Genomic DNA, 22,315 nt, shown 5'->3' with positions numbered 1-22,315 from the left:
TGTGAAGCAACGAGGGATGAAGAGATGGGGGAATTGATTCACTTTACCTCAGTGTTTAATCAGTTTATCCTGAGAATGCCAATACTTTTAAGAAGGTACAAATCTATCCTGATTTTCTTTTTCTGTTTCGTCAGTGAGTTCTTTCTGTCATGGATGTCAATATCTATGTCATCATGACCCAATTAAATGACAAAAGCAGGGTTTTGAGGTTCTCTCACTGATATCAGTTCCCATAAATCCACAGTGATTGGAGAAAGACTGAGTAGACATTAAGGGAATATAGAAATAGACTGAATGATATTAACATTTAAACAGAATTGCGACACTCGTCCCTGTTTCCTTGTGTGTAGCAGCTCTGGTTCCTCAAACTATCAAAAAGAAACCATTCAGAATCACCTCCCTGGATACTTTTTAAAATTTATTTTTAATTGACAATTAAAAATTAAATATATTTATGATGTACAATATGTTTTGAAATATGTATGCATTGTGGAATGGCTAAATTGAGATAATCAACATATGCATTACTTCACATACTTATTTTTTGTGGTGAGAACACTTAAAATCTATTGTCTTAGCAGTTTTGAAGTATATAATACATTGTTATTAACTATAGTCACCATGTTGAACAAGGAATATGAACTTACTCCTCCTGCCTAACTAAAATTTTGTATCCTTGACCAACATCTCCCTGGAGATTTTTTATCTGCTTCTTTTTACTAGTATCACTTTTAAAAGATTTCTGAATTTAGCTACTGTTTCAAAACCTAGAAGAAATTAAGGATGAGGTGATTTATGAATGAAAGAAAAATATATTAATCCTTTAGGCCAAACACACCAGAGGCAACGTTTGGCAATTAAATTATTAATTTGATCAATTTTGACATGTAAATGGATAAGCTACATTAAAAGCAATGCACTTAAAGTACACACACAGAATCTTGTCTCATTGAAGTTTGAACACCTTCACCATATCTTCCTCTATTATATCAACTTGATTGAACAGTTGCCAAGGCCTGTTTTTTTTTCCAGTTTGCTCTGTACGTGATCATATCTAGTAGACTGTCTGCCATATTACGGTAGCTCAGTTCTTAAATCAGGGGTCAACAAACTATGACCCACAGGCCAAATCCAGACAACTGCCTGCTTTTGTGTCTCCTATGAGCTAAGAATCAGTTTTACATTTTTAGATGGTTGAAAAAAATACCAAAAGAAGAATATCTTATGCCATGTGAACATTTTATGAAATACAGATTTTAGTGTTCATAAATAAAGTTTTATTAGAACACAGCCATGTGCATTTATTGACATATTGTCTTTGGCTGCTTTCACACTATGATAGCAGAGTTCAGTGGTTGGTTGCAATGAACTGCATGGCTTGCAAAGCCTAAAATGTTTACTCTTTGGCCATTTACAGAAAAAGTTTGCCTATCTCTAGTCTAATGCTATGTCTCAAATTACCACAGACACTGTAGATAGGTCTACGTTACATCAGTATGAAGGCAAAAGAAAGGGACACATATTGTTGGTATGGAGGGGAGTGGTGGGTATATTTCAGATAAGGGCAAAATGTCAGTGAACATTCATTGATTCACCAGTATATGTGCAGAACTGGGTATGTGTATAGCGCTAAGGGAAACATTTTTTTAAAAGGTTAGTCTCCAATTTTTACTCTAAGGCTTCCTCTTGAATAAGAAGATGCATCTGCAAGTATAGTGTCTGAAAACTATTTGCCTTGTCCAATCTCTACATCACTGGAAAATGCTTTAAAAATTTTAAGTTAAAAATAGTATATGTTTCATGGTTTATTTTGCAATTATTCTAGGCAGAATAATTTTCATAAACATTGCCATTCTTACCAGTGCGAAAGGGAGACTTAAACTCAGAAAAGTGTCATTTACTCATGGGTTTAAAATGCTAGTTCTTCTTGTGGATGTATCTGAGATTTTTATGTTACTGTATCCAGAACTCCCTCAGAGGCAAGAACATAAAGGGCCTCCAGGAGCTGACTCTAAAAACACCAGTCTCCTGTTCTTTAAACTCCGTGTGGCTTGCTGAGCGCTCAGCCACAAGAGCTGGGGGTGAGCCATCTCTGGGTCCTGCCAATGCAGCCAGTGTTGTGCCAAAGGAAGTAGCCCTGTCTTACACTTTGTGATGTTTCTTTTGGCTGACTCTTCCACATTCTTGTGACCCTTTGAATGAAGACGTCTTAACAGCTTTAGCTCTACACCATGGCCTCCCGCTATCATTTCCTGCAGGTCTTGTCTTAGAGCTCAGCAGCTTCCTGAGTAAATGTCACCTTGGTGTCTTCTAAGAGGGTCTCACTGAGGTTCAAAAAACCATGGCTTCCACCAGATTGAAAGCATAATGTCCACGAGTCTTTGTCTCACTGGACTGTGCAGGAGGATGAACCTGGAATTCTTTTTGGTTTTGAAGCAACGAGTAGGTCGGGGCACAGAACAGAGAACCAGGAAAATGTCTCTGAGGGTGGAAATCAAATGACCCCAGAGGAGGAAATTCCAGTTGAAAATAGAAACCGGGTCAGCACCCTTGTGAGAGCCACAGCATCCTAGACTTGGAAAGTGGCAACCTGTGGCCTGTGAAGGCTGCTATCAGAAGTCCATGGACTGGCCTGAAAAGAGTGTTGTGTTTTATGGCAATCCAAATTGAAACAGGATTTATCTAGCTTCACAGATGTGGTCTGCTGGAGAGTTATGTGGAAATGACTCAATGTCATATATTTGTCACATTGACCAAGGGTTATTTCTTTAGTAGGAAAAGACAATTCGGGAACAATATTTTCTTGAGAACTATGATATATGCATACATGATGGTGGTAGCTTCCAAATTACCATGGTACGAATTCTCTCCATTGATGGTTAAGGGGAAAAGGGTTATTTTGTTGCAGCTGTACAATATCCCTTCATTAATTCAATGAAAAGATCTCAATTAATGATTATTCCTTAAAATGACAGATCTATAATTAACTTGGAAATGCCCACAATATAATCATGTTGCTATGAAAAGTGATGGTTTTTAAACTAGTCTAACATAATTCCGGATTATCTTTAAAGAGAATTTAATGTCTAGAAAAGTTTCTGTAGCTCTAAAAAGCTGCAGAATAGGATGTCATTTTGGGAAGTTTCCCTTGCTTAATTCAGCTTATGATCCAAATTTGAAGGAGACCAGTAGTCCAGGAGTTTTGTCTGCAAATAAAATGAACAATATGTGTTCTAAAGTGTTTTGGATTTTTGTTTTTGGTGGGAGGCTGGTTAGTCATGGAGCAGGGTAGAATTAGTAGCTTTTGGCTTTAATCAGGAAAATATCACATGGTGTTAAAGTGCTGTCTATTAATTGGTTATTATAAACTTTAAAATGTATATTATGGTGGAGAAACTTCTCATTTGGGGGACTGTTTTTCATAGCATTTGTGGCAACTTTTATTTATTACTTAAAAATTTTAAACATCACAAACACTGAAATTCTGGGGTAGAGATAGGATTTTCTTAAAGGAGAGATATATTTTTGATATATCTTTTTCTATCTGTGTGTGAAAGTGTAATGCCTTCCAGAAATCCATAGGAACAGAAAATAGATTAGTGGTTTCCTGGGGCTGTGGTTGGGAAAGGAGAGTGACTGTCAGTGAGCCCCAGGGATGTTATTGAAGTGACAAAAATGTTCTCAAATTGGATTGTGGTGATGGTTATCCAACGCAGTAAGTTTACAGGTGAAGTTTATAGAATGTAAATTACATCTCAATGAAGTTGTTTTAGAGTATGAGTTAATAAGAGAATCAAAAAGTACTTATTTACAAATGAAGGATTAAAATCAATATTATACAATCAAACTTGAAATACGTTAGTAATGGTATATATATATTTTTTCCTTTCTAGGCCACCTCTTAGAAAGTTCAAAATCTAATAAATGAGGGGAAACACCTTTTTATTTTTTGCTAGTTGTTCAGGATTCAGTGATCTGACCAAGCACCCATTTGTAGTTAAGACATAAACATCCCACTGAACTAGACACCAGACTTCTAAGAAACTCGACTTTCTAAAATCAAAAGCAAAAACATATCTGAGCAGCCACCAGGACTGTCTATATAATTTGATAAAAATGTTGCAAAACTGAATTAATAGTTATGGTTACACAATTTGGTACATTTACTAAAATATCATTGAATTGTACACATAAAATGCATAAATTTTATGCTGTATCAATTATACCAAAATAAAGTTATCTTCCTATAAATATATGTTCATTTGTTTATATATTTATGTTTATTATATATGCATATATAAATCTAACGTAAACATATAAATAAATGTTTATATATTTCATATATATTTGTATATTTTATATATATATATATATATATATATATATATATATATATAAATAATGTCTGCCAGTGACACAGGCCCAATATCTATATTCCACATAATGAAGTCATAGCAACAGGGCCATAATCTTATCTTATTCATCTTATTTTGGGATATTTTGGCCTTAACCATGTGACACTGAAATTTGCTTGGGACTGTTGAAAGCATTCCCCTTGTTTAAAGAGGTTCTACTAAAAACAACTTTTCACCCATTTTTTTGTTTGTTTGTTTCTCTCTTTTTATTTTTTCTAGCACAGTGGTAACACCCTATTCCCACTTTAACTTCTTTTCCTTCCTTCTTTTTTGAAAATTTTCTAACTTGTATTTATAATTCTCTTGCTCATCAAGGTCATCCAGACACTATGGTTCTGTTCATGTGGAATTTTAGTCTCATAGCAATCAGTAAGACTGTCTTGCGAGAGCCGGAAATGTGTTCATTAACTTGAGAGGCCTTCCTGCTAAGTGGTCAAACATGGAAACACAAAGTTATGTAGGGACATTTTGCTCTGTAAACTCAAGGTATAGCATCATTTGTTTAAACCCTCTCTATTGAGATGTAATTCACATGTGATACAATTCACCCATTTAAAGTGTACAGTTCAGTGGGTTTTAGTACATTCACGGAGTTGTACAACCATCACCACTAGCTAATTTTAGAATATTTTTGTTTCCCCAAAAGAAACTCCATGCCACTGGCAGTCACTCTCTTTTTATCTCCTCCACCAATGCTACTCTGAGCCCCTGACAACCATTAATTTGCTTTTTGTCTCTAGATTTGCCTGTTCTTGAGATTTTCCATAAATGGAATCATACAATACGTGGTCCTTTGTGACTGTCTCCTTTCACTGAGTGTGTTGTCGAGGTTCACCCATGTTGCAGCATGTATTAGTACTTCATTCCTTTTTATCACCATATAATATTTCATCATATGGAAACATGATACTTTGCTTATTCATTCATCAAGTGATGGACATTTGTGGTGTTTTCAGTTTTTCTGCTTTTATGAATAATGCTGCTATGGACTTCTGTGTATATGTTTTGTATGGATGTATGCTTTCACTTCTCGTGGGTATATAACTAGGAGTAGAATTGCTTGGTCATTATAGGAACTCTATGTTTAACTATTTGAGGAGCCGCCAGAGTGTTCTCCAAAGTGATTGCATCATTTTACATTCCCACAATGGTGTTTGAGGGTTCCAGTTTCTCCACATCCTTACCAGTACTTGTTGTTGTTATTATTATTAGTAGTAATGTTTAGAGACAGCATCTTGCTATGTTGCCCAGACTGGTCTTGAACTCCTGGGTTTGAGGAATCCTCCAACCTCAATCTTTTGAGCATCTGGGAGTATGGGCATGTGCCACCACATCCAGCTTTGTCTATTTGATAGTAGCCATCCTAGCCAGTGTGAAGTGTTTTATTTTAGTTATAACTTTTATTTGTATAACAAACAAGAGGCACATTAGATGGTGATCATTTGCTTCACAACAGTATTTTTTGTAGTCCTCCTTTTAAAATCACAAAACCACATATGAATTTAAAACCAGATCCTTTTCTTTAAAAATAGTCCACTGCAGTCTGCCCATATTCCAGCAGTATCCATTATCAAAGTAAAGTGTACACAAAAGGCTCCCTCCACCTCTCCTTGCTTGAGAATCTGTGTCCCCTGAGTATGGATGTCCTGCTCCACCTTCACAGTGTCACCTTGGAGGAAGTGGCAGGGGGTCATCCACTTCAACCATTTTCCAGCCCTGGCACTTGGCAGCAAGACTTGGAGAGGCCAGAGGACATGTGGCCACAGGCCCCTGCTTGTGCTCCTGAGTGAACACTTGACATAGATATCCAGTGAATCATGGGGTGCAAGCCAGAGACAACCCCCCACCCCATTTCTTGCAGGCTGTGGATCTACGTGTCGGTGGCCCTAGTTATTATATCTGTTATGCTTTAAAAGTGAAGACTAGGCCAAGACCTACAGGCTGATGATTATTAGGTGGATTAACATACGGAAAACACTATAGAAAAGAAGGAATAGTTTGTGCAAAGATGCTGAGGAGCAAAGTGGCATAGCAAGTTCAAGCAAATGAGTGAAGAAAGTAGCAGACTGAGTGAAGGAGTAAGGGGAACAGTAGCAGAACAGAGCTTTGGAGAGATGGGTGCGGTGGTCAAGAAAAATGGCAGGGACTTACAGGCCACAGAGTAAGGATATTGGAGTAAGGGGAAGTTATAGAAACAGTTAAGCAGTGTGAGGGTTGGAGGATGCGTGTGTGTGTGTGCGTGTGTGTGTGTGTGTGTATGTGTGTGTGTGTGTGATGATCAATTTCCTCAATTAGAAAAAAGAGATGTGATGAAATTGTGTTACAGCCTTTTGGACACTCAGAATAGGAGGTCTTTTATTGCCAGGATACCCATAGCATTGCCACCCTCAGATATCTTGTAAACTCTGGTAGGAAGAACTCATGGATGACTACTTTGTCGTCCTACTGCCTTTAAATCTGCTTCTGTCTGTTCCCGGCACCCACTGAACGGCAATTTCTACAACTCTCAATTTGGGCAGCAGCGTCCATACTGGGAAAACTCTTCCATCATGCTTCCTCATAGACCCCTATTGACTGGGTAACTGCTGCATCGGTCACCTCCTCTCCCTGGGCCTATTATAGCTATGGCTAAGGGTGCTTCCGTTGTACCTGGATAGAGTTTTATGCTTATAAGCTGCTTGTGGCTATTAAACAGAGCAAGAGGAAACTGTGTACATGGAAGGAACTTTGTTGCCCTTCTCTGTTACAGACAAGCAAACCACCAATGAGAGCAACAACTTTTTAAGAAATCCTGGCAGACTTGTGGCAAGAATAACCAATATTGTAGTTCACCCGTGAGGCTTATACAACGTTTGCCACACTGTATGCATTGAGAATCTGGTTGCGATTTTTGTTATAAACTCTTCCATTCCGCTTCCCCCTCCCTGCCTCCTTACACACGTTTACTTCAGTGAACTCTGCTTGACAGACTAACCAGGCTGAGGTCTCAATCTGTGACCTAGGAGCCAGTGATAACACCTTTGACTAATGGACAGAAGACTTATAGTTCTATTTTTGTTGTTTTGATTTTTTTTAAGTTATAGTGTTGAAGTCATACGTTGTCTTTAGTTATTAATCTTACTGCTTCCTTCAGCATTTTGTTGAATAGCATTTCATCATGCTTTGGTTAAGTGATTTATAGTTAGCTCACAAATCCCAGGCTTAAGATTAAAAAGCTACTCATAAATTCCTTAGAACATTCATTGTGCCAGCAGAAAGAAAAAAATACTGGACTATAGGATATCATTCCTGTATCTGATTCCTACACTATTCCTTTGAATATCATCCCACACCTCCTCCCCGTTCAACTCCAAATGGCCAATGAACACATGGAACATACATACAGTTAGCCAATAAGAACATGAAAACATGCTCAAAATCTTTAGCAGTCAGGGATATGGAAATCAAAACCACAAGGAAATACCACTTTACACCCACCAGGATAGTAATGATGAAAAAAATACAAAGAATAAGTGTTGGTGAGGATGTAGGGAAATTAGAACCCTCATAAACTACTGGTGGGAATGTAAAATGCTGCAGCCACTTTGAAAAACAGCCTGTCAGTTCCTCAAAAAGTTAAGCATAGAGTTACCATATGACTCAGCAATTCCACTCCTAGTTATCTACCCAAGAGAAATGAAATGTGTGTACACAAAAAACTTATACATGAATGCACATGCATTATTCATAACAACAAAAAAGTGGAAAAAACCCAAGAATCCATCCTAACTGATTAACAGATAAACAAAATATGGTCAACCATACAAGAGAATATTATTCAATAGGAAAAAGAATGAAGTACTGACACACGCTCCCACATGGATGAACCTTGAAAACATGGTGCTAAGTCTCTCTTGAGCTGGACACAAGAGATCACATATTCTCTTGTGATTCCACTTACATGAAATATCCAGAATAGGCAAATCCATGGAGATGGAATATAGATTGGTGGTTCCCTAGGGCTGGGGGTGGGATAAAATGCAGAGAGACTAATAATGGGTATGGGGTTTCTTTTTGAGGTGATAAAAATATTCTAAAATTGGTTGTGGTGATGGTTGCACAACTCTGTGAATATACTGAAAACCATTTAATCAAACACCTGAAATGTGTGAGTTGTAAAGTATGTGAATTATATCTCAATAATGTAGTTATAAAAAATGAACCAAGAAAGCCAAGCAATGCTAGACATGCATGGTCTATTCCACTGTAAGGTAATAGTCTGTCTAGGCACATTTACTTATTAAAAAAAAAAAAACTCCCCATTTATCTATTTAGATGTTTCTTTGTTATATATGTGCTTAACAATCTTCTCAGTTTACTTGCAGTTTGTAGGTGACAGTTTATTTTATGTCATGGGAAACTGAAACAGAATATGTCAGGACTGTTTACGTGAACACGGTCTGGCCTTTCGCTGGACACTGGGATACAGTATATTTCAATACCCCCTACGCACACATCCCACACACATTAATCAGGGCCAACATGCTGGGAGTAACCACGATGGCCAACCACAGGATACTAGGATGCTTTTTATATGGACATTTGTGGGTGAATGTACCATAATCTGTTTAACTGGCTGATAGTCATGGTGGCAGTGGCATATGTGTGTGTGTTTACATTGTGTGTGAGTGTGTGTGTGGGGTGTGTGTGTGTATAGTTTACAGCAAGCTCAGGCGGAATGCTGTAAGCCAAACAGTACCATGAATCTCTAAAAAGGAAAAAAGATCATTATCTTTAAAAGTGCATTCTTACATGCTGTCAAGTATTTGAGGATTGCTTTTCCTAGCTGAGGCTCAGTATAGTCTTCTTTAGTCTGTTGCCAGGGGATCAGCAATGGGCAAAATCTCCGCCCCCATCCCAGTACCCACTCTGTGTCATACATTTTCCTTGATGACTTATGCGAGTACTTTATAATCTTTACAATTCTCGGCTGGGCATGGTAGCTCATGCCTGTAATCCCAGCACTTTGGGAGAGAAAGGAGGATCATTTAAGCCCAGGAGTTAGAGACCAGCCTGGGCAATATGGCAAGACCCTGTCTCTAAAAATAAAATAAAATATTAGCTGGGCATGGTGGCACACTTACAGTCCCAGCTACTCAGGAAGCTGAGGCGGGAGGATCACTTGAGCGAGGGAGGCTGTGGCTGCAGTGATGATCATGCCACTGCACTCCAGCCTGAGCAACAGAGTGAGATCCTATCTAAAAAAAAATTCCTTACAACTCTCTAATAGGTTTCTTTATATCATTTTATAGATGAGGAAACTGGGGCTTGTAGAGGCTAAGTAACTTTTCCAAAGTCACAAAAATAAGTGGTGAAGTTGGGTTGTAAACTCAAGTCCACTGATTACAAAGACCATATTTAGGGTCCCTTAAGTTAAGCTGTCTTACATCTTCCCGAGGAGAAATAACATGCTTTTTTGCTACTGACTTAATCATAATTATTAATGAAACTGAAGTAGAAATTGATTATTTGACTAGAAATTGATTACACAACAATTCAATGTTTAGACTAAGAACCAAGGATTTCCAATTAATATGCCAGAGCTTGCCATTAAAATTTTTTAAATTGTCATTTTTTTCTTATGGATATGTAATAATCATACAGTAAACCCTTGATTTGTAGGATACCAACCTGCAGGAATGACTAGTAATTTTTTTAAAAAGAAAGAAAAAAGAAATTCTCCTTAAAAGTAGAATTGGGATCCAGATGTGTTTTTACCCAGCAGTGTCTTCCGTCATGGATTTGTCTTATAGAAGGAAAAAGACATTCCACCCCAGTGGTGATAGGTGCATGAAAAGCTCATTTTGAGAACTAAGGATGGAGAAAGCAAAGAGGAGCAGAGTGGTAGAGATCACAGTGGCAACAGTACTGGGGTCACCTGGGACCTCAAGGTGGGCACCCATGGCCATGTGGTGGTAGAAGTGAGAATCAACAGAGGGACAGCAGTTTGCCCTTCCTGTTGACAGTGGAAAAGAGAGCAGCAATGAAGAAGTAGAGTCAGGAACTGCTCTAACGTTTGCTGGAGGGGCAGCCAGCAGCCCCTTATATTAGGCCTACCAGGACGCTGGGTGCCATATTGAAAAGATATAACAGTCATAATGGATTGTCAGTGTGGATGCCTGCAGACATTTGCTTCATGTGGTAATATCATGACAGATTCAATCAGCTCTTTATTTAATCTGTATTTTCACCTATAATTATGCTTATAAGACAAACTGTTCAATGGTTTTAAAAGACATGAAAATGTCTCCATTAGAGAAATAGAAGCTCTTACAATAAGATAGTTAGAATGTTAACCCTGAGCTATCCAGGATGTGTGCTTATCTAGAATTACTCGTTCCTACATGATCCAGGCTCGCTGAGGATTTAGCATACTGGGCCTTAAGAGCTATGATCTGCTTTTTTATTTTTAATATTTTTGGAGATATTCTTCCTTCCTGAGGTTACCCAAAGCAGTATCCTTTGGCCACATTTTCTTTGAGCTCTAGATTAGAAAAACATTTATAACCACCCACAAACACAAAACTTTTTAAGATGAGGTTTTGGAGGGTAAAAAACTTATGAACTGAAAAGAAAATTTGGTTCCTGTTGGCAGACAGTGATACTTTCTTTGAGTTCTAATTATATGGAATAATTTGTAAATGAATTAAACAAATGCAAAACAAAGGGATTATTTTTATGTTTTAATGTAAATGTTGCATTAAAAAGACTGAGGATTGACTTGAATAGATTGGAAGACTACTTCATTATTAATGATTCTCGTGCTTGCCTTTGGAATCTCTTGCTTGGCTGGATTATGTAGAATCGGATTTTAAGGCTTTGATGCAAGGATGACCTCGATCCTGGGCTGCCTGCTACTCTCATAGGTTCTTAAGCCAAAAGTTGAGATGATTTGCAATGGTAGGGGGACAAGACAGATTAGCAATGGGAGATGCAAAGAGTGGAGAGGCTCATCAGAGAGATGAGGAAGACGGCTTTGCCTCTGACCCAGGTGTGAATCAGTTAAGTGGTGGAAATTAAAGAGGAGATGCCAAAAAGCAAGAAGTATCAGTAAGGCATAGACTGGTGAACTTGGATATCTGTAACATATTTGCATTCATAAATGCAACGTTTTCTCTCTTGCCTTGTGCAGACCTGGCCTTTCTGCATCTGTGTCTTTTTGAAACATTACAGGATATTCAACATTAGCACCTAATTATGAGCCCATTTCAATGTTAGAGCCTGTTTTATCTCTGCTTTAACGTGGTTTAAGTATGTCTGCAAAGGAAGAAAGTTTAGTTACATTGTTAACCATCCTTTTTCATGTCTCAAAGAGTAGAAGATTTGTTTATCTAACAGATTTTGCCAAGAAGGCAGTGAATGAAATTTCAGTTTTGAAGTATATTTGAAGTTAACATTTTGAGATAGGGAGCCAAGCTCAGTCAAGCAACACTTTCCTATGGAAGCGCCTTCCTTTGAGCTCAGCATAAATCATGCCTTAAAGTAACTTTCAGCCTGATTAGTGTTGTCCAATAGAAATGAAATCCAAGCCACATATGCAATTTTAAATTTTATAATAGCCACATTTAGATAAGTTTAAAAATAAAAAGAAACAGTAATATATTTTATTTAACCTAATATATCTGAAATATTATTTTAATATGCAAACAATAGAAAAGTTCCTAACGAGATATACACATTTGTCATGCCAAGTCTTTGCACTATTATTTATTTCATACTTACAGCACATTTTAATTCTGACTAGCCACATTTCCAGTACTCATTGGTCACTTGGGGCTAGTGGCTGTCGTATTTGACACCAGGGCTTTAGAGAACTGAATGAGCAACCAAAAGATGACTGATTTGACTCAGTTTCCTACTGGGGAAGTTTTCACATCAACTATCTCTAACTCTCCCCCATACCTACACCCAGCCCTGAGCACCCCAAGATTGCTGAACTTTTCTCACACTGAAATAGTCAGGATGTCTTATCTTCACAGGTGGGGAGGATACAGAGCTGTGTTTTCACATTTCGTAGTAAAATTCAGCTGCTGTTCTCTGCCCGTATTCTACTCAGCTTTGAATTTCAACCCCTTGGCTTTCCCATACTGAGCAGCCAACGCAAACTATTGTTTTCAATGACACCTGTTCCTTTCGAAGAAGATGAAGGCAGTAAGCAGATTTGTGCTTAGTACAAGGTGTTCAAGTGAAATTACCTATTTATTTTGGTGATCACCCTCCCAAATTGCTAGGGTGTATCTTCATCTGGAGTTACATAAATAGGATTTGCCCACCTCCTAAATAGAGTGTGTGATAATGGAGGTAACCTAGGCATCCTCCTACGCTCTGCCACAACTGATGCTCAATTATTCCCCAGAACACCTAATGCTTTATGTAACAGAGCTCTGAGAGAATAGGGGAGTGGCAGGCAAAAATGAAATAGATATTTCAAACATCACTCCTATGTGAAACATATAGATTTGGCATTTAGGTGGAAGGCTCTTTTTTCCTTCCACTTACAGAGTTTGTTAAATTGCAAGCATGCCTTGGTGTTGCCAGAGCAATGTCTTGTAGCTGATACTCACAGAGAGCTAGTGACTTGTAGACTTCTCTATACAAGCATAGTTGTGGATAAAGCCATTCTAGAAGGGAGGTGACCCCTGTACAATAAAGCCTGGGTTGTTGCAATGTGAGATCAAGAGAGCAGAACAATCTTCTATTTTGTTAATTAATCTAGTATATAAAGTCTTGCTTAAATTAGGCATAGGCTCAAAGTCTGACTCACAGTCTTTTATGTTTTGAAAATGTTCAAAGAAGGTGGAACCAAAATGGGTGAAAAAAACTTGACACATATTTGAATTGTTCTCATTTGTTCATATTTGTAATTCTTTAAAACGAGACAGACAAACGTACAGCATACTTTTGTGGCCAAGAACTTGGGAATCAGATCCTAAATCTCAATGCAATGTTGTACTTTGGGTTTGTGTTTGGAATCAGGCATGGTTTCAAATCCCAACTCTTGTATCTACTAATTGGATGACTTCCAGCAAGTTATTTGTGAGCCTTAGTATTATATCATAATTGAGTCAGCAGACCTATCTTTCAGAGATGGAGTCAGAATTAAGCAGAATGATGTACATAAAGTTATTGGACAGTGATGGGACAAAGTCTGACTAAATAATAACACCACTGAATTTTAAAATTTAACATGTTATCAGATCTCCTTCAATTATTTATATGTATATATGTATGCAATGAAAACATAATGCACTAGCCTTTTTACTGAATTATTCTTATTCTAAAACAGGAAATATATACAATCATATGGTTTTATTTAAGCTAACAAACATTTGCTGAGTTTTGGTAATGTCAAATAACTTACTGTTGGATACTGAAGGGTATATTTTTGTTCAGGTCGTAAGTATCCTAATATCCTGTACATATGAATGGCCGTTAGGTCACAGCTTCCCTCCTGTAGCTCTTAACATGTAATGCCTCTAGCCCTGTGGCTCTCAACTGGGGGCAATTTTGCCCTCCCCCACCCCTACTCCCCCACCAAGGGACATTTGGCAATGTCTGGAGACATTTTTGTGTATTTGCTTGCCACATCTTGGGGAGGGTGCTATTGGCGTATAAGCAAGTAGAGGTCAGAGATGCTACTAAATATCCTACAGGGCACAGAACAGCCCCTACAGCAAAGAATTATCCAGACCCAAATGTCTACAGTGCCTAGGTTAAGAAACATGGTCTTGATATTATGTATTTTTCTAGAGTTTATTATGTCTTTCATCATTTGTGACTTTGGCCATGCTATGAGGACTGTCTAGATAAAAATTGTCCAGTCATGAGCTGGTTGGACATAAAGCTGTGACTACTTGAACTCAAGGTGATACTTACCTAATAGCATCGTCGGAGGGAATTTGTTCATTGGGCGGGAGGCTGGATTAGCTGCTTTTGGATGCTCTTCCAATCCCAGGAATCCCGTGCTTTTCCTCTTTTGTCACACAAAGCTATATTTCAGCAAGAATCTCTCCCAAACTTTGTGTTCACCATGACCAGCTTCTTCTCAGATCCTGCCATCAAGGCCAAGCAGAGTATTTTTGGAATGTGGATGAATGTGACAAGAATGTTATTCTTAAATAGCAATTCTGCTATGCAACACCATGATACAGTCTCCTGAATGGATCTGATTCCAAGTGGAGGCTTGAACTCTAATATTTAATAGTAAACTATAGAAACCTTATCAAGATAAACAGCACTAGGAGTTTTTAATTCTATTTACATGACTAGAAGTTGACATTCATGTCCTTCTTGAAACTCAGACCCCCAAATATTGGGAAAGTCAAATACAATACGGCACAGTCACAGCATGAGTATCATACAGTGATAGTTCATGCTAGGTTAATGTCAAACATTAAGAGTATAATGCTGAAATATTTCTGGATGAAAGATAGGATATCTAGGATTTCTTTCAATGTAATTGAGTGGGACAGAAATCTAAAAGTTGGTGTTTTAAAGAGAAATTGGTAAGCCACAGCTGTGAAAATGGAGGCTTAGGTGGTTTGCATATTGGCTGCCTTGAACTGTAAATTCCACCTGAAGCAGAGGTAAACGACAGTGCTTTTAGCCAGGGGGGGACGGGGTGCGGGGGGGCACGTTCATTGACAATATTATTGCAAGGTATGTTGGTTCTTTTTTTTTTCATGACTGGAACAATGACCAGCTTCACTTCGTCACCTTCTTTCTCTTCTATGAAATGCCTTCCCTCCTTAAACCTAAATCCAATGCATCCCTGAAGACCTAGCTCAATTATCCCCTCCCCCTGGAAGCCTCTAAGGTCTTCCAAATTTTATTAATACTTCTCCACTGAACTCCTGCAGTGATGCATCTTTTGCATGTTTTAAGAAATTGAGGTCTAGTTCACATACCATAAAATTCCCCTTTTTAAAAGTGTACAATTTAGTAGTTTTTAGTATATTCACAGAATTGTGCATTTATCACCACATGTTCTAGAACATCCTGATCACCTCATAAAGAATTGCTGCATTCATTAGCAGCCAACCACCCCTCCCTTTCCCTTTAACACCTCTGGCAACTACTAATTACTTTCTGTCCCCATAGATTTGCCTTTTATGGATATTTCATAAAAATAGAATCATATAATATATGGCCTTTTGTAACTGTCTCCTTTCACTTAGCATAATGTTTTCAAGGCTCATCTATGTTGTACATGTATCAGGATTTCATTTTGTGGCTGAATAATCTTTCGTTGTATGGGTACGCCACATTTTGTTTATTCATTCATCAGCTGATGGACATTTGGGTTATTTCCACTTTTTAGCTATTATGAATAATGCTGTGAACATTTATGTGCAAGTTTTTGTGTGTACATGTGTTTTTGTTTCTCTTGAAATGAAATATAGCTAGGAGTGGAATTGCTGGGTCACATAGTAGCTCTATGTTTAAACTTTTGAAGAGCTGCCAGACAGTTTTCCAAAGTGGCTGCTCCATTTTACATTCCCACCAGTGATGTAACAGTGATGATTAAAAGCAATGGCAAAAACTGCAATTACTTTTGCACCAATCTTAATACAGGGATTCAGATTTCTCCATATCCTCTTTGACATTTTACCCTGCACAAGTCTGTTGATGTCACTATTTGTCCTCAGGATTGATTATCCCACATCCCAAATTAGTCTCACCTCCCAAATTAGACTGTAAGCTACTTAGGACAATGATCCATTTATTTGGTCTTTATTTAAGCCAGTGGTTTTTTTTTTTTTTTTTTTTTTTGATTGCTTATTGTGTGGCAGGAACTGGTAAGTGCTAAGGCTTTAATTAAGAAGCTCTATTTTGTGGGGGAGGCACATAAAATCACACTGGCCTGTTTTGGGGTGATGGGTGCAGTAATAACAGCCTATTCAAGGTATAGCCTTTGCTTCATATAGTTTCCCTCCCACAATGTCATACTTACAAACACCACTCAAGTCTACTATTTAATACATTCTATTAGAGAGGAACAGATCTCTGTGTGTGTCCTCTTTTTAGTCCAAATGTAGAAGCTCTGATTTTTCTGTTGGGCTTTTGTGTTTAAATGTGCTTAAAGAAATCAATGCCAGCAATATTTCTAGCAGTAACTTTGGATGTACCATGTAAGTTATTTTGAAACAGTGAATCATCACGAATGTTAATCTGTTGACTTGTATGTATAAAAGCTTCTTGAGACTCTAGGCTAAGGAGAGACAAAGCATCAAAAATGTAATTCCTCTGGATTCAGAAATAAATTATCCACATGCCATTTTCACCTGCAGTTAATCTGGTTTTATGTTTGTCTTTCTGCAACTCTCATTCAGTGTTTTGGAGAAATTAGGACATTTAGAATTCCTAAATGACATCAAGGATAAAAGGAATCAAACTGCAAACTGTAGAAAAGAATGCATTGTTATACTATATATAAAGGTATAATTATATAATTATGACTATAATAATTAAAACATATTGTGCTTAACAATAGTATCAAATTGTTTTCATCTGAGTTCTTAATTACCTAATATAAATATGTCTATGCCAGCCATGCCAAAGCAGGTACCTAAAGGAATTTCTTATATCTAGGAAAAAACGTATTGATCACCTCATGCATTTAAGGGACAAGAATGGCACTTTCATTCCAGCTTATAAATCATGTCAATTTTAACAATGACTTAAAAATTCTTTTGTGATTTGTTTAAACTCTGAAAAGAGGCTTGTTTGTGTTAAGGAAAAATCAAACTGAGAATGAGTTATGTGCTCATATTATATATAGATGAGTAAAACTCTTACTCCCTCTGCAAACATTAGAAAACAATAAGATACTCCCACGGTTTCTTTTTTTTTTTTTTTTTTTTTATAGCACTTACGCAGTCCTTACTATTTAACAGGCACTGGTTTAGAATTTTTACAAATACTTCTTTAATCTTCATAACAACCCTAGGAAACATATACAATTATTATCCCCATTTTACAGATAAGGAACCTGAGAGTTTCAGTAACTTGTGTAAGGTCACCAGGTAGTGTAAGCCCATGAGATTTGGCACCTTTTCCAAAGTGGAGTAGGCCTGCCCCAGAGTAAAGAGTGCCTGTTCTAGTCTTTATCTCAAAGAAAGCAGTGATTTAATTAGTTACTATCAATGTGGGGAATCTGTTGGTCTGACATCATTCTAGGTTTCAGAGGCAACTTGGCTGCAGGTTTTGTTTTTGTTTTCGTTTTTGTTTTCATTTTTGTTTTGAGACAGAGTCTTGCTCTGTTGCCCAGGCTGGAGTGCAGTGGTGTGACCTTGGCTCACTGCAGCTTCGACCTCCCTGGGCTCAGTTGATCCTCCCACCTCAGCCTCCTGAGTGCCTAGAACTACATGTGTGTGCCACTACACCTGGCTAATTTTTTGTGTTTGTATTTTTTGTAGAGATGGGGTCTCACCATGTTGCCTGGGTTGGTCTCATCCTGGGCGCAAGTGATCCGCCCACTTTGGCCTCCCAAAGTTCTAGGAAAACAGGCGTGAGTCACCATGTTCAGCTTGCAGGATATTTTCATACAGCTTAGGAGAGCAATGAAATTAAATGTGAGAGATAAAATATACATTGTCACCTACCTGTTTGATGGTATATATAATGGATTATCTATACCATACATTATACATTATAGATAATATATATTATATTACATCTTCATATTATGTATAGTCATGCTGTCTTTGATATACATACACATATATATGCATATGTTATACACACACATAAATGCTTAGCCCCTTGCAGGCTACCCTTTCCCATGTGCTTCCATGTCTTGGGTAATAATTCTTCTCAGACTTTCAGGAAGTACAGTGCTACTAATATTCTTGGAGGTTATTATTCTTTCTTCTTGGTGAAGAGGATGTTGAAAGATCAATAATTTCCATCTATCTCCAGATAGTAAGGATGCCTTGTAGGAGAGAGATCTGAAGACCCTGACATGTCCACAGCTTTGCAGCCTGATTCTGACCTTTCTGCTTTGGGGGCAACTTCCATCAAAAGGAGTTTCTTGTCGCAGTTCTTACAGGCAGGGGCATCTCACAACAGTTGCTAGTAATGATACCATCTACTCCCAAGAATGGGAAACCTATACTCATCTACTTGGCCTCCCAAAGATGGATCCCATTTAGGGTGTGTGTGCACATGTGTGTGTTTGTGTGTGTATATGTTTTAACCAAAATAATTAGTGTTACCAAATCTCTAGGCCTCCATGCCTAGAGGATCTCTCATTAAGTAGGATATTCTATGCGCTCATACTAGAAAGTTATAAAGGCAAAAAAGACACTAGATTAAAACTGATAATGTCCATATAGGTTCTGAGATTTTTTTAAAAAAAAGTCTGAGCTTATGTTAAACAGAGGTAATGAGGATAATCAGTTGTATAGGCTTCCCTAATGTAAGTCAGCGTCTCTCATCTTGGCATTCATTCCAGAACTGTTTTTAAACAGGCTTGCATGTGCACAGTATGTTACCTTGCCTTCTAAGTACTGTCAGAATTGGACTGGTACCTAGCAAAAATATCAAAATTATGAGTCCTAGAACAGTGCTTGGATGTAATAAGCACTCCGTAAATACTTTTGGAAAAAATATGTTGATCAACTACGGTTTTATTAGATAATTTAAAAAAGATAACTTTAACCCCTGCCCTCTCTGGAGGAGAGAGTTGCTACAGTAAGAGGGAGCAGTCATCCCCAGACCTCTCTTTGATGCTTCTGGGTGTAAGAAGGGCAATTGAAAAGGGATTTAGGAAACACCAGGCATGCTGGGTGAGTAATATGGCTGCCACCTAAGAGACCATCAGGGAAGTGTCTTCTGTGGTATCATGCCCTGAGCCAGAATGCCGTTGACTGCTTGACTCTGAAGAAATTTTAAAGTGTTCCTGAGGGTGAGAGAGGTCTTTTGAATCAGGGATTCTCAAGGTAGCCTATGGTGATTTGAAATGTTTACATTTTAATATCACATATACTCTCCTTTCTATTGGAAGCAACTAAAACTGATAGTGAAGACTTATGCTTTTGCTGTAAAGAGTAAGAGTTGCCTATCTGTGGTATGATAGTACTCCTAGAGGGTGATTCATAGGTTAAACCATTGGAACAGAAAAGAGAAAATATTTTTACTTGGCCATGCTCTCTTTTTTAAAAACAAATATTACTATTTTTTTAAAAGCCATATCACTGGCATAGTTTTCAGTTGTTTTTACAGTCGGTTGCTCTTTAGGCTTACAATCTTTAACCTTGAAATTATTCAGAGATAATTATTTTTGGAAGGAAAGTGACAAGGGAAATAGTTATGTAGTCAATTTTTGATTATCCAAGATGATTTTGCCATTAGAATTAGTATCTTATTTTAGCAAATAGCAACAGTCACCTTCTCTCTTTGCTAACCCTTGGAACAAAATGTTTTATAAGGGAACAGAACTGAATTTTATTTCTCCTCCTGTGCCCCGGGCCTGTCTTATATTTTCACTGCCGGTAGTACCTAATGTTTTCCCCATTTCAGCAGTATGCTGGAGCCAGCTTGCGTTGGCTGGAGAACCAGTTGTGTGCATCTCTTCCTAACTGCATGTCCTGTGTCCTCACCTTGGTACCCTGGAATCCGCCACAATGAGTATTTATATTATGGAAATTAACAAATGGCGCAAATCAGAGCTTTCCTCCAGAGAACCAGTTGTTAAATGTTTTATCAGCACACTGCTGCCCCATTGAGTCCTTCCTTTTTGTTTTTTGATGAATATTTTCTAAAATGTATTAGATGTTGCTGTCTTTGCAAACAGGGTGTAATAGAAAAATTTACTATTTCCTGGTCCCATTATTATACTTCATATTGCTGGGTTAGCTTCTTAGTGTTTCTTCACTTTTCCCTTCAGAAGAGGGCTTCTTCCTTCTGAAATCTTCCACTCAGTTCTTATGTGTTGATTTTGATTGCCCTTAGTCCATCAAATGAGATAACCAAGTCCATAAATGTGCATGTAGAATAAAATGAGAGTTAGAGGACTTCTGTTACAGAATAAACCTCTTGAATAAAATGCATGGCCTTAGTCCAGAATTTTTGTGACAACTAGTTTGATTGCCAACACCAGCTTTATGAGTATCCTACCTGTGTGGTCGCACAGGGCCCATGCTCAGAAGGACAACATGACTAATGTTCTGCTGTCATCATTTTAAAATTATTAATCTGAGCAAGAGGTCCTGCATTTTCATTTTGATCAGGGCTCCATAAATTATGTAGCCAATCCTGATAGTTGTTCAGATGCCTTTTTTGCTTCTGATTTTAGAAAGCTGAATTTCTTAGAAGTCTGGTGTGTAGATCAGTGGGCTGTTTCTATATTAACCACAGATGGATGCTTGGTCAGATCACTATAAATACTAAATAAGTAGTAACAAAAAAATGATGTTTATTTTCATTCATTATATTGTGATTTTTCTAAATGGGTGTCCTAGGAAGGAAAATGATACATTATAATGTTACTCACTTATTTTGAATGTATAAGATTAATTTTAATCCTTCACTTGCAAGTAATTTCTGGTTCTCTTATTGAGATATATTTTTAAAATAACTTTATTGAAGTAATTTTACATCATAAAATTTACTCAGTTTAAGTGTGCAATTCAGTGGTTTCTTAATAAATTTACAGAGTTGTGCAACATTCCCACAATCTGTTTAGAATATTTCCATCATCCCAATGAAATTGTTCATCCCCATTTGCAGTCATTCCCTGTTCCCACCCCCAGCCCCAGGTACCCACTAATCTACTTTCTATTGGAACAGCTTTGCCTTCTATGGACATTTCATATGAATGGAACCATACAACATGACATGTGGTCTTTTGTGATTGACTTCTTTCACTCAGTATTATGTCTTTGAGGCTCATTCATGTTGCAGCAGGTCAATGCACAACTTTACGCTAAGATTTATAGGATATGTGAGGTTGGTGTAGGACAAATAATGCTTATCTACTTATCTGTGAGTGCACATTTATTTTTGCTGAAATTTTCATTGAGAATGGAAAGGTAGCCCCATTGCATTCTACAGGAAGTCCATTTTTGGCTTATAACGCTTATCATTTTGGCACCTTCTGGATCAACTACTCACCCTACCTTCTGAGAAACTTTAAGCTATTTATGAGGGTGTAAGTGAACTTAATATTTGAGTTCAATTACTACCAAGCACACTTTCTGGAATTACTACTAAATTGCAAACATATTGTAGCAGTTCTAAAGACGCTTTTTTGAGTTAATGTTCATCAATATTTAAAAAATATTTTTCTCAGTATTAAAACAAGTTAAAAATACCATTGATAAGAATTCAGGCTCTGGGCTGAGACAGCTCTCAGTGGAAATCCTAGCTCTGCCTCTCAAAGCCATGTCCTAAAATAAGCTATTAAATCTCTCCAATACTTGATTTCCTAGATTATGAAATAATACTACACACTACCTCAGAGAATCATTGACAGAATTAAATAAGTCAGGTAATGCATTGAACACAGTGCTTAGTACAACAAATGTTACTAAATGTAAACATTTCTACAATGATGAGTGATGATTCTGTTATGTACAGATATGTACTACCATTTGCTAGTGTATCACAACAGAATAGAACACATCATATAATATGATGCAAGTTATATTAATAACATAATGTCTATGCATATATTTTGTTATATCCATAGAAAATTTTAACAAATTAATAGCACAGTGTGTGGCCTTTACTACACTCAACAAATGTTAGTTATATTATTATTATCATTATTACTTACAATGGCTTTCTTCAGGGGGAGGAACTATAGGAGATTTCTTCTTTTCACAGTATATTTCTGCTGTTTTTGGTTTTTGCTTTTG

General features: G+C 37.4%; 1 protein-coding gene across 4 annotated transcripts in view, besides 1 other annotated feature; it reads left to right on the top strand.

The window, feature by feature from the left end:
• Positions 1-22,315, top strand: part of ARHGAP6 (Rho GTPase activating protein 6) — a 528,377-nt gene that overhangs the window by 250,340 nt on the left and 255,722 nt on the right. The gene's annotated exons all lie outside the window — the stretch shown is intronic.
• Positions 7,878-8,172: an enhancer, noted in NCBI's record as "tiled region #12383; K562 Activating DNase matched - State 5:Enh". NCBI's record gives its function as "activates a minimal TATA promoter and a strong SV40 promoter by Sharpr-MPRA in K562 cells {active_cell/tissue: K562}" and the evidence as "EXISTENCE:reporter gene assay evidence [ECO:0000049][PMID:27701403]".

The sequence above is a fragment of the Homo sapiens genome, chromosome X, assembly GCF_000001405.40.
Source record: "Homo sapiens chromosome X, GRCh38.p14 Primary Assembly".
Lineage (NCBI taxonomy): Eukaryota > Metazoa > Chordata > Mammalia > Primates > Hominidae > Homo > Homo sapiens.
Note: the sequence above shows the minus strand (reverse complement) of the source record. Positions and strands in the feature narration are given on the sequence as shown.